General features: G+C 48.9%; 1 annotated feature.

The window, feature by feature from the left end:
- Positions 3603–3682: an enhancer, noted in NCBI's record as "active region_11179". NCBI's record gives its function as "activates an Ori minimal core promoter by ATAC-STARR-seq in GM12878 lymphoblastoid cells {active_cell/tissue: GM12878}" and the evidence as "EXISTENCE:reporter gene assay evidence [ECO:0000049][PMID:35858748]".

Consider the following 12823-nt stretch of genomic DNA (forward strand, 5'->3'; position numbering starts at 1 on the left):
AATAAATGGAGGTTGTGTTAAGCCATACATTGTTGAGTGTTTGTTATACAACAATAGATAACTGATACACAGCCCTTATTATGATCTTTCATCATCTTTGTTTATTTGTTTACTTTTTTGTCTCTCTCCCCTGCCCACCCCTTTCCCCACACACTCACTGGAATATCAGCTCCATCAGCCCATGGACCTTGTCAGTCTTGTTTCTTTTCCATTTCCCAGTGCTCATACAATGCCCAGTAGGCGCTCAATAAATATCTTTTGAAGAGTGAATAAATAAATGTTTAGGTCAACAAACATTTGCGGTGCCATCCTCTTGTCACAAGACACCAAGCTGGAGATGAGGGTGATCCAATCTCTCCATGAGGAAACACGTAGCTTCCCAGACTTGTTCTTCATCTTCCATCATGTTATTTTATTTTACTTTATTTTTATTATTTGTAGAAACAGGATGTTGCTTTATTGCCCAGGCTAGTGTTGGTCTCCTGGCCTCAAGTGATGCTCCAATCTTGGTCTCTCAAAGTGCTAGGATTACTGGCATGAGCTACGTCGTCTAGCCAATCATTTATTATTATTATTATTTTTATTATTATTATTTTGAGACACGGTCTTACTTTGTTACCCAGGCTGGAGTGCAGTGGCATGAATATGGCTGACTGCAGCCTTGACCTCTCGAGCTCAAGAGATTCTCCCCACTCAGCACCCCAAGTAGCTGGGACTACAGGCACATGCCTAGCTAGTAATAATTTTTGTACGTTTTGTAGAGACGGGTTTTTGCCTTGTTGCCCAGGATGGAAATCATGTTATTTTAAAGAGACAATTTAAGAAAGTCTCTTGGGCCCCTGCCTGATGTTTCAGCCGCATCTTATTCTGCCATATAGACAGACTAGAAGAGGTATGGATAGCTTCACACTCCAACAAATTGTGCATGGATTCTGGAGCACTTAACCCCTCCAAGCCACAGCTGTCTTTAAGTGGGGACCAGCTGATCCTGGAAGAGCTGCCGGGAGGCTCACACACCAGCCTGCATGACTGTTGTGCAGTAGCCCCACCCCACGCAGGCCAGCCCCGCGTCATCATTCCTATCCTGAACCTGCAGGGCATTTTCGGTTGAGGAAATGAAGACTCATGTTTATCATCCTTTCCGGGAGAGGGATTCAAGAAACTTGGCAGGGGTGAGCCCGGATCCATGCCCGTGGCGGGAGCTCAGTGACCTCTGCTCAACCCCCTATCCTTGCTAGACCCAAATTTCTCCTTTGGACGTATCCCGGGAATCCAGAGCCCCGCAGCCTGTGACTTTAGAAAGAAAGAGGCAGGCTCCTTCTTGGCTCAGTCCTGAGTGGAACTTCCAAAGGCAGGGCTGGGATGACTTCATGTTTGGATTAGGGAATTTCAGAATGGGACAAAGCCCATCTTTATTTCAGAGCCGATGACCTAGGTCTGAGTGGGTGACCTCCCTCCTAACTGATGGGAGATGACATCTAAACTCCCGATGCTGAGTAACAAGCAATGTAGACACCAAGGGCGATGAAGCAGCCATTCAGCATTTCCTGGCACCTGCCAGCTGCCGCCCACTGTCCTGGGCACCCAGGACACCAGCCCTGCGGTGGAGGCTCTGGCCTGGCACTTTACACCTTTGCTTGAACATGAGAACCACCTGGGGAGATTCCACAAACGCCCGTGTTTGGGCTCCACCTGAGACCAATTAGAGGCAGTCCTGCTCTAATTGGTTAATTACAATCAATCTCCCAGGTGGATTTGCAACCAGGGCTGAGAGTACTAGGCTGGTGGATACTAAAACCCCACATTTTTGTTTGGTTGATTTTTTTTTTTTTTTTTTTGAGACAGCCTTGCTCTGTCGCCCAGGCTGGAGTGCAGTAGCACAATCTCCGCTCACTGCAACCTCCACTTCCCAGGTTTAAGCAACTCTCCTGCCTCAGCCTCCCGAGTAGCTGGGATTACAGGCGCCCGCCACCACGCCTGGCTAAGTTTTTGTATTTTTAGTAGAGACAGGGTTTCACCATGTTGTCCAGGCTGGTCTCTAACTCCTGACCTCAGATGACCCGCCCACCTCGGTCTCCCAAAGTGCCAGGATTACAGGTGTGAGCCACCGCGTCTCGCCCCCACATTTGTTGAGAAGTCATCTTGTGCCAGGCTTTAAGGATTTTATTTTATATATATATGTATGTATTTTAATGCTTATTCTTTTCTTTTGAGATAGGGTCTTGCTCTGTCACCCAGGCTGGAGTGCAGTGGCACGATCATGGCTCATTACAGCCTTGACCTCCTGGGCAGCGATCTTCCCCCCTCAGCCCCCTGAGTAGCTGGGACTACAGGTGCATGCAACTGCACCTGGCTAACTTGTAAATTGTTTGTAGAGATGGTCTCACTACGTTGCCCACGCTTGTCTGAAACTCCTGGGCTCAAGGGATCCTCCTACTTTGGCCTCCTAAAGTGCTGAGATTACAGGCGTGAGCCACCACGCCTGGCCAAGAATGTTATATATGTAAGTATTAGTTCCTTTCCTCTTCACATGATCCCTCTGAGGTAAGTGCTGTTATCGTTATCTCTATTTTGCAGAGGAGGAAACTGAGGCATAGCAGGCACAAGTCGGGGATCCCTGTGTGTTAGCCAGGGCCTGCTATAGCTCTGCCAGGAGGGCTGGCAAGGCAAAAGAGAGCACTGGCCTGGGAATCTGGCCCAGCGTTGATCGAGGGCCTTGGACACGGGACTTAATCTTTGCCAGGACTTCAGTTTTCTCATCTGAATAATGGGCTTGATAATAGATTTGGCTGGGTGCAGTGGCTCACACCTGTTATCCCAGCACTTTGGGAGGCTGAGGCGGGCAGATCACTTGAAGTCAGGAGTTTGAGACCAGCCTGGCCAACATGGAGAAACCCCATTTCTACTAAAAATATAAAAATTAGTCGGGTGTGGTTGTGGCTGTCTGTAATCCCAGCTACTCAGGCGGCTGAGGCAGGAGAATCGCTTGAACCGGGGAGGCAGAGTTTGCAGTGAGCCGAGATCATACCATTCCACTCCGGCCCGGGCGACAGGGCAAGACTCTGTCTCAAAAAAAAAAAAAAAAAAAAAAATAGAAGTGAAGATGAAGCTGGGTGATGGAGAATGGGGCATACCATGGCCACTCCAGGGAGAGCTGTTAGCGGGAGTGGTTCTGTGCACCCAAATACTAGCCAATAAATCAATACATAAGCAGGAAGAGTACTTCCAACCATTAAAATAATTTGAATAATATTTGAATAATTTGAATAAATAATATTATTTTAATTGATTATTGTGGGATCAATGAATTCTAAATAAAAAATGCACTAAAAGTCTGTAGTGGGTGATGGGGTGGGGGATTTAGGGGTGCCGACGGGGTAGACCCCTATTGAAAGAGGCACGAAAACTGGGAGATGAAAAGCATAGGCTCGTTTGCCCTGTGTCTTCCTTCTCACGGCAGGGGATCGGCCGGCCACCTTCTCCCTGTGACTTCCTCCCAGTCCCGTCACCAAACCCCTGAGGCCGTCCTGGCATCAGACCGCAGGCCATAAAAGCGTCCAGCAGAGGGCGCCCCAAACCCACGAGGGCCGCGGCGAAGAAGAAGGTAGCGGCCGCTGTCCTCTCCCCTCCCAGGCAGGTCCGGTGCGGAAGGGATCGCTGGACACTGGCGATGGTGGAGAGGCATGGTGGGCCGGGTCCCCCGCACCCTTCATGGCCCTGACTCGGGGCTGCCCATGACCTTCAGCGTCAGAGCTCGGTCTGGTCCATGCCTGCCTTGGGGAAGCTGCGCCGCCTCTGCACCCACCCAGGTCAGGGCCACCTTCCCTCCATTTGCAGCATGAGCAGGTCTGAGGTGGCGGCTCCGGGCTGAACAGCAGGAACTGAGTTCTTTGTCCACATGTGAGGGTGGGCAGCCCATGAACAGTCCACCCAGACACAAGTTACCCTGCCCCCGAGCCGGAATCCAGCCCTGAGACCCCACAGTGCTGCCTCTGAAACAGTGCTGGGACGTCTCTCTGAGCCTGAGCTCAGACTTTGGTGTCCCGCTGCTGAGGCCGGGGTCCCGCCGCTGTGACCGTGGCAAGGGTAAGCCCTTTGTGCACCTGTGCCGTTGCCTGTAAAATGCTGGCAGTAATCACAGTGGAGCTACCCTAGAGGTTTGCTAGGAGGGTTACATGAGCCGTGCCTGGCACGGGCCACAGAGGGTAGGTTGCACATGGCTCTTTTCCCCACTGCCCAGTTATTAATCCAGGTCACAGTTACTTCTTCCCCCAGCCTCACAGAAGATGGGGGCCACTGTAAACCCCACCCCATCCCAGATGAATCAAGCCATCACCATACCCCCCCCCTCCAAATGATCCATGCCACCATAATATGCCCTCTGGATGACTCAGACCACCACTGCCCCCTCCCCAACACACACGTACACCCTGATGGCCCCAGCAGTCTCCTAACTGTCCTCCCTGGCTCCAGCCTTGCCCTGCTCCCTTCCACCATCCACTCTGCAGCCAGACTGATTTTTCTAAAATGCAAATCTGATCACATTACTTCCTACTTAACATCCACCAACAATTTCCCAATAAACTCGGGATGAAATTCAAGCTCCTTAATGTGAGTTCTGAGGCCTTTCCTGATCTGGCTGGGGCCTGGCACTCCAGCCTCATCCCTCTGAGTGACAGCCAGAGCCCAACCATGGGGGGCCCAGGCAGGAACTGTGACACCCCCAAATTCCACTTTTTAAAATTTTATTTTATTTTAAGTTCCGGGATACATGCGCAGAATGTTCAGGTTTATTACATAGGTAAACGTGTGCCATGGTGGTTTCCTGCACTTATCAACCCATCACCTAGGTATTGAGCCCCCCACATGCATTAGCCATTTATCCTGATGCTTTCCCTCACCTCACACCCCGCTGCTGACAGGCCCCAGTGTGTGTTGTTCCCCTCCCTGTGTCCATGTGTTCTCAATGTTCAGCTCCCACTTATAAGCAAGAACACGTAGTATTTGGTTTTCTGTTCCTGTGTTACTTTGCTGAGGATAATGGCTTCCAGCTCCATCCATGTTCCTGCAAAGGACATGATCTCTTTCCTTTTTATGGCTGCATAGTATTCCATGGTGTAAATGTACCACATTTACTTTATCCAGTCTGTCATTGATGGACATTTGGATTGATTCCATGTCTGTGCTATTGTGAATAGTGCTGCAATGAACAAACTCATGTATGAATCTTTATAACAGAATGATTTATATTCCTTTGGGTATATACCCAGCAATCGGATTGCTGGGTCAAATGGTATTTCTGGTTCTAGGTCTTTGAGGAATCGCCACACTGTCTTCCACAACGGTTGAAATAATTTACACTCCCACCAACAGTATAAAAGTGTCCCTATTTCTCCACAGCCTTAAATATTTGCACATTTATCAAACAGGGAAACTACTTTTTATTATTAACATAAAAGGTATTCCTCTCTCTTTGTGAAAACAAGGGCTTTAGAATGTGCATACTGTGAAAGTAACCTGTTAACTTATCAGAAAATGTCTTTTATCTGACATTTTCCTGCCCTCATCAATGGATGACGTTAGTCACATTCCTTGAAGGATGACTGGAGCTTACATGGACCCAGGTTCAAAGTCGTAGTCTCTTTGAAGAGCCTCAACTTTTCCAGCCTGACTCCGGGTTGGAACCTGCGTGCCTGAGGTTCCTCTCAGGATCAGCGTCTCCACCGTCAGACATTCTTATGAGAATACGGGTGGGTCAGCGCCGGGTAAAGGTGCTGGCTAAGTTTCCACCTTGTGGAGGTGGGATGACTTGCAATTCCCGTCTCCTGATTCATCCCCGGGTTACTGATTCATTTCCCTGGAATCTGGACTGCTTATGGCCATGCCCCCAGCTGCTGCTGGGCAAGCTGAGTGCTCCATTCAGCCCTGGTTCACACAACATATTCCTGGGCTCCTGATACAGGGCCTTGCGAGCGTTCAGACCCAATGCTTCTTGCATAAACACACACACATACAGATATATATATATATCTGTGTGTGTGTATATATATGTGTATGTGTGTGTGTGTATATATGTGCATATATATGTGTGTGTATACATATGTGTGTGTATAGATATGTGTATATATATGTGTGTGTGTGTATGTGTGTGTATATATATATATATCTCTTTTTTTTTTTTTTTGAGATGGAGTCTCACTCTGTCGCCCAGGCTGGAGTGCAGTGGTGTGATCTTGGCTCACTGCAAGCTCTGCCTCCCGGGTTCATGCCATTCTCCTGCCTCAGCCTCCTGAGTAGCTGGGACTACAGGCGCCCACCACCGTGCCTGTCTTTTTTTGTATTTTTAGTAGAGACAGGGTTTCACAGTGTTAGCCAGGATGGTCTCAATCTCCTGACCTCGTGATCCCCCCACCTCGGCTTTCCAAAGTGCTGGGATGACAGGTGTGAGCCACCGCGCCCAGCCAAAATATATATATATATAGATATATATATTATGTATATGGGTCATGTCCGGCCCCCATCCTGCCAAAATATAATATTTTTCCAAAATATATATAGAAAATATTGCTCTGTTACTGTCACCCAGGCTGCAGTGCAGTGGCACGATCACAGCTCTCGTTGTAACCTCAGACTGCGAGGCTCAAGTAATTGTCCTGCCTCAGCCTCCCAAGTAGCTGGGATTACAGGCACGTGACACCATACGCAGCTAATATTTGTATTTTTCACAGAGATGGGTCCTTGCTATGTTGCCCAGGCTGGTCTCAAACTCCTGGCCTCAAGCCATCCTCCCACCTTGGCCTCCCAAAGTGCTGGGATTATAGGCGTGAGCCACCGTACCTGGTCAAAACTAATATTTTGAATGTTTCTTTCTGTCTTGAAGTTGAATTCCCTGGTATATAATTTAGCTATACATGTGATTTCAGATACATCAATATCATGCCTATTTACAATATAAAGGAGGATTAAAAAGAAATTAATTTGACATAAAATTGTATGTGGGGACATTAGAACCCCCTCTACCCCAGAGACATAAAGAAGTAGTAAGCCACTTGCTCCTGCTCAGGAATCCCCAGGAAGGCTGCAGCCACAGCACAGATGGCCACAGGTGTGCCTGTGGGTGACTCAAACATCACAGGCTGGCAGGCTCTCAGTGACGTGATTTTCCAAAATGGTGAGCAACTCTTGGTTAACGTCCAAATGAAACAAAGAACAACCTTACCTCCATTTACGCTGTGGTTGTGCTCCTGGGAAATGCAGGGACAATGAAAACTGAGCAGGAAAAAACGGCCTTTTTATGTAAAGTGAAGTTAGATTCCAGACACAGATAATTTCAAGCAGGGTTTTCGCCTACGTGAATGTCCTGAGAGACGGCAGCCCATCCTGGGGGCCGAGGGCCCATTCTTGTCATCAGGGACTGTCTGTCTAGCTTTCCTGCCCACTGCCACCACCAAATGCCAGTGCTTCCCACACTCACACGTTATGGAGACAAATTTCCAACCCCAGTAGGGACAACCCTGTTTCCAGGAGAGCAACCTGGCTAGTGGGTCAGGTCCTGCCCCCACCCTGCCAGGTCTTCCTTCACATGTTCTTTTCTTTCTTTCTTTCTTTCTTTCTTTCTTTCTTTCTTTCTTTCTTTCTTTCATTCTTTTTTCTTTCTTTCTTCCTTCCTTCCTTCCTTTCTTTCTTTCCTACCTTCCTTCCTTCCTTTCTTCCTTCCCTCCCTCCCTCCCTCCCTCCTTCCTTCCTTCCTTCTCTCTCTCCCCTTCTCTCTTTCTCTCTCTCTCTTTTTCTTTCTTTCTTGAGTTTCACTCTGGTTGCTCAGGCTGGAGTGCATGGCACGATCTCAGCTCACTGTAACCTCTGCCTCCTGGGTTCAAGCAATTCTCATGCCTCAGCTTCCCCAGTAGCTGGGATTACAGGTGTGTGCCGCCACCCCTGGCTAATGTTTGTATTTTTAGTAGAGACGGGGTTTCACCACATTGGCCAGGCTGGTTTTGAACTCCTGACCTCAGCTGATCCATCCATCTCGGCCTCCCAAAGTGCTGGGATTACAGGCATGAGCCACCACACCCAGCCAATTTTTTGTATTTTTAGTAGAGACGGGGTTTCACCATGTTGCCCAGGCTGGTCTTGAACTCCTGAGCTCAGGTGATCCATCCGCCTCGGCCTCCCAGAGTGCTGGGATTACAGGCGTGAGCCATGGTGCCTGGACCCTTCCTCTCCTTTTCATCTAGGAGGCTTCTCTTTCTTCAAGTCTCCATGCATTATTCATTTTTCCAGAAAACCCACCCTGACTCCTGCAGGCTGGGGAAACATCCCTTCCTGCCACCACGGCCCTATTCACCCTACTTCCAGAACCCGAGAACCTGGTTACCCTGTGCATCTTTGTACTCACACCTACCCTGGGAAGCCAGGAGCCTTGACCCTTCACCATCAACCCCCACTTCAGCCTCAGTGCCTGGTATTCAGTAGGTGCTCAATAAATGTCGAATACATGAATCCTAGCAGTGGCTCCACTTCCCGTGCTGGGCTCACTCACAGGCATCCCAGAAAGTAGGACTATTCTTAGTCCCATTTTTCAGGTGGGGAAACTGAGGCTCAGAGAGGTCAGGTGACATGCCCAAGGTCACAGAGGGGACACAGATACCAATGTAGCACTTCAAATTCTCTAGAGAGTCTGCGACTGCCCCGCTCAACACCCCCAGCAACTTTCCTTAAAAGACTCAAACCCCACACCTTCCCCCAACACCACCACCGGCGTCTTCAATCATCCAGCCCTTTTGGATGTACAGCCCCCGGGCTTCTGCAGACCTGCTCCCTGATTCCTGAGCACAGCCGCCTCCCTGACTTTACCTCTCCTTCCCCCATTGTCTCTACCTTACCTGTCCTGCAAGGCCTATCTCAGTGCAACTCTTCCCCCACCATCGAAAACCGCTCTCCCCATCCCAGTCTCCTCTGTGAGCTGTGATGTTTGAACCTGTTTCCCAGCCTTTGACATCAGCATCTCCCAGGCGGGGCTCAGGCTTTCCTCACTCCTGACTGCCTCCCTAGGGCACCCAGCTTAGGGCCTGGCCTGTAGCCCACGATCACATGCCCAATCCCCCGACATTTGCTGAGCTCCGTGTGAGCCGAGCAACTACAGATGCATAGAAGGGAACAGAGCAGGTGCGTGCACAGATGCGTGTGGGCCACCCTCCTCTTCTGCACCTCGCCATTGCTGCCAAGGCTATGGGCACCTGGCACGGCTGGAGGCCAGAAGAGACTCCATGTCCAGTGGCCACCACCGAGCTGGCCCTGGTCCAGCTCACCCAGGACAGGATCTGGCTCTATTGACTTCAGCTCCTTTCTAGTCCCAAGCAGATCTGGAGTCACCCTGCATTGGTTGCCACAGACGAGGAACAAGAGGGGGTATTGGGAGAAGCAGGGGGCCCAGGCATCTCCTTCCTGGGTCACTCAATGTCTACAAGCCACACTTTAGCCTCTCTGAGCCTCAGTTTCCCACCTGTAAACTGAATGTTTGGAAGGAGATGATCTTCAAGGTCTTCTGGGATTTTGATACTTTAAGATTCATCCAACAACTGTGTTTTTGAGCACTTTTGTGCCTCAAAGGCGAGATGCCTTTGGGGATGATAGAAACCAGTCCAATCTCAGATTACAACCTCTCACTTCCTGTCCTCCATTTCCATTTAAGTTTTCTCCTTAGTATTTAGCAACACTTAATATACTTGTGATTTCATCTCTTCGATTTGATGTGTGTCTCTGTGAGCTCTAACCCAACACATAGAGCAGGGCTTGGCACATAGTAGGCTCTCAGTAAATATTTGTTGAGTGAATGAATAAAAAAAGAACTGTTTTTTGGATCAAATGAGCTCCATGACATCCGGTGTCTTTATCAAACCTCAACAAGATTCCGAGAACAATCACAATAAAAACAATCTCTTGGGCCAGGCACAGTGGCTCACACCTGTAATTCCAGCACTTTGGGAGGCCAAGACAGGAAGATTGTGTGAGCCCAGCAGTTCAAGAACAGCCTGAGCAACACAGTGAGACCCTGTCTTTACAAAAACAAACAAACAACAGCAACAAAATTAGCCAGTCGTGGTGGCACGCACCTGTAGTCCCAGCTACTCAGGAGACTAAGCCGGGAGGATCACTTGAACCACCGCACTCCAGCCTGGGCAACAGAGTGAGATCTCAACTCTTAAAGAACCAAACAAACAAGAATAATCCTTTGAGGCCGGGCATGGTGGCTCACGCCTGTAATTCCAGCACTTTGGGAGGCCAAGGCAGGTGGATCACTTGAGGTCAGGAGTTCGAAACCAGCATGGCCAACATGGTGAAACCCCGTCTCTACTAAAAATACAAAAATTAGCCGGGCGTGGTGGCGTGCACCTGTAATCCCAGCTACTCGGGAGGCTGAGGCAGAAGAATCACTTGAACCCAGGAGTCAGAAGTTGCCATTAGCCAAGATCACACCATTGCACTCCAGCCTGGGCAACAGAGCGAGACTGTCTCAAAAAAAATAAAAATAAAAATATTTTGGGAGTGGGTTGCAATTAATAAGACATTCCCATCACCTCTTTTGAGCTTCCGAGCACCTGCTCGAGGTTGTAGGCAGACCACAGTAGTGCTGCCTTTTAGAGGGGAGAGCATGCAGATGGTGAGTGGCTGGCTAGGGCTCTGCAGGTGGCCAGGAGGATGTTCACATTCTTCAGCTGCCACTATGCTGCCCTCCCAGCCACAGCCAGTAACTCCTTGGATATTCTATACCTCCTTTCCCCCATATTTCTTTGCCTATGCATGTGCGGTTCGCTTTGCCTAGAAAAGCCTTTCCTCTGCCCCTTCCTCTCTGCCGGGTCCATCCCTGTTCTTCCTTCCAGACCCAGCAGATTGTGGCACAGGCTGAAAGCAAACCAAGTTCAGGGTCAGTGCTGGTGCCTGTGGCAGGCGTGGAGGATGCAGGCTCCATCCCCACCCCCACCCCGGCAGGCAGGCGTGCGTGATCCCTGCCAAAATCCCAACTGCTGCTGGAAAGTTCCTGGGAATTCCTGTGTACCAGCTTTTTTTTGTGTGCTAAACACAAAAGCCTCTTTTTGGTCATTGCACATCAAAGCATTTTTTAACATGAGATTCCCCTAGCTCTTGGTAGGCGAATCTGCTGTCCCACCATTATTTTTTATGTTTGATTTTTAATTTGTAAAAATTTGTGGGTTTTTCTTTTCTTTTTTTTTTTTTTTGAGATGGAGTCTCCCTCTGTCGCCCAGGCTGGGGTGCAGTGGCAGGATCTCAGCTCATTGCAACCTCCCTCTCCCAGGTTCAAGCGATTCTCCTGCATCAGCCTGCTGAGTAACTGGGGCTACAGGCGCGTGCCACCACACTCGGCTAATTTTTGTATTTTTGGTAGAGACAGGGTTTCTCCATGTTGGCCAGGCTGGTCTTGAGCTCTTGACCTCAGGTGATCCACACACCTCAGCCTTCCAAAGTGCTGGGATTACAGGCATGAGCGACTGTGCCTGGCGTCATTGTTTTTAGTAGCACTCACTGTATGGAAGAATAAGTTTTTTATTTAAACATTCTTCTCTTGATGGAATTCAGGTTGCTTCCAATCATTTACTATTTCCACCAGTGCAGCCAAGACCATTTTGCAAATGATATCTTTGTCCACATGCAGAAGCCTAGGATTCCTAGCTTTCCTTCCATGCTTTTTAAAAGAAAGTATAATGGGATGTAAAACTAGTTTTATTTTATTTATTATTATTATTATTATTGTTATTATTATTATTGAGGCAAAGTGGTCTCTCCTGTTGCCCAGGCTGGAGTGCAGTGGCACGATCACGGCTCACTGCGATCCTCCTGCCTCAGCCTCCAGGGTGCACCTGCTACCACAGGTGTGTGCAACCACACTGGCTAATTTTAAAGTTTTTTTGTAGAGATGAGGTCTCACTACATTGCTCAGGCTGGTCTCAAACTTCTGAGTTCAAACAATCCTCCTGCCTTAGCCTCCCAAGGTGCTGGAAGGTGAGGGCCACTGGGCCCAGCCACTACTTATAACTTCTAAAAACCTTCCTTTATTCCCACAACACCTCCCATTCAGCGTAATCTGTTCCAGCCTTGCCCTCAATCAGAAGCATTTTACAAAGTTGCAGGCACCCAAGGCATGCATCATTCTTTTTCTGTTCCATAAGATACTGCTTCTATCCTAAGAGTGTTCCATGTGGCTACACAGTCATCAAAGTGACATTTTCATAGCTGTGTAATCATGGAGGCAGAGGGCTCATGCTGTATGGAGCCATTGACCTACCTGGGCTCTTAACATTTCTTTTCTCTTCCAGATAGTGCTGCAGAGAACATTTTCTTTCCAAATAGCTTTTTTTTTTTTTTTTTTTTTTGAGACAGAGTCTTGCCGTGTTGCCCAGGCTGGAGTGCAGTGGCACCATCTTGGCTCAGTGCAGCCTCTACCTCCTGGGCTCAGGTGATCCTCCTGCCTCAGCCTCCCGAGTAGCTGGGATGATAGGCACACACTACCATGACTGGCTAATTTTTATATATATATATATAATTTTTTTTTTGAGACTGAGTCTCGCTCTGTCACCCAGGCTGCAGTGCAGTAGAACAATCTCAGTTCACTGCAACCTCCGCTTCCTGGAGGTTCTTCTGCCTCAGCCTCCCAAGTAGCTGGGACTACCGGCACCCACCACCACACCCGGCTAATTTTTGTATTTTTAGTAGAGACGGGGTTTCACCATATTGGCCAGGCTGGTCTCAAACTCCTGACCTTGTGATCCGCCCGCCTTGGCCTCCCAAAGTGCTGAGATTACAGGTG

Source organism: Homo sapiens, chromosome 16 (assembly GCF_000001405.40).
Source record: "Homo sapiens chromosome 16, GRCh38.p14 Primary Assembly".
Classification (NCBI taxonomy): Eukaryota; Metazoa; Chordata; class Mammalia; order Primates; family Hominidae; genus Homo; species Homo sapiens.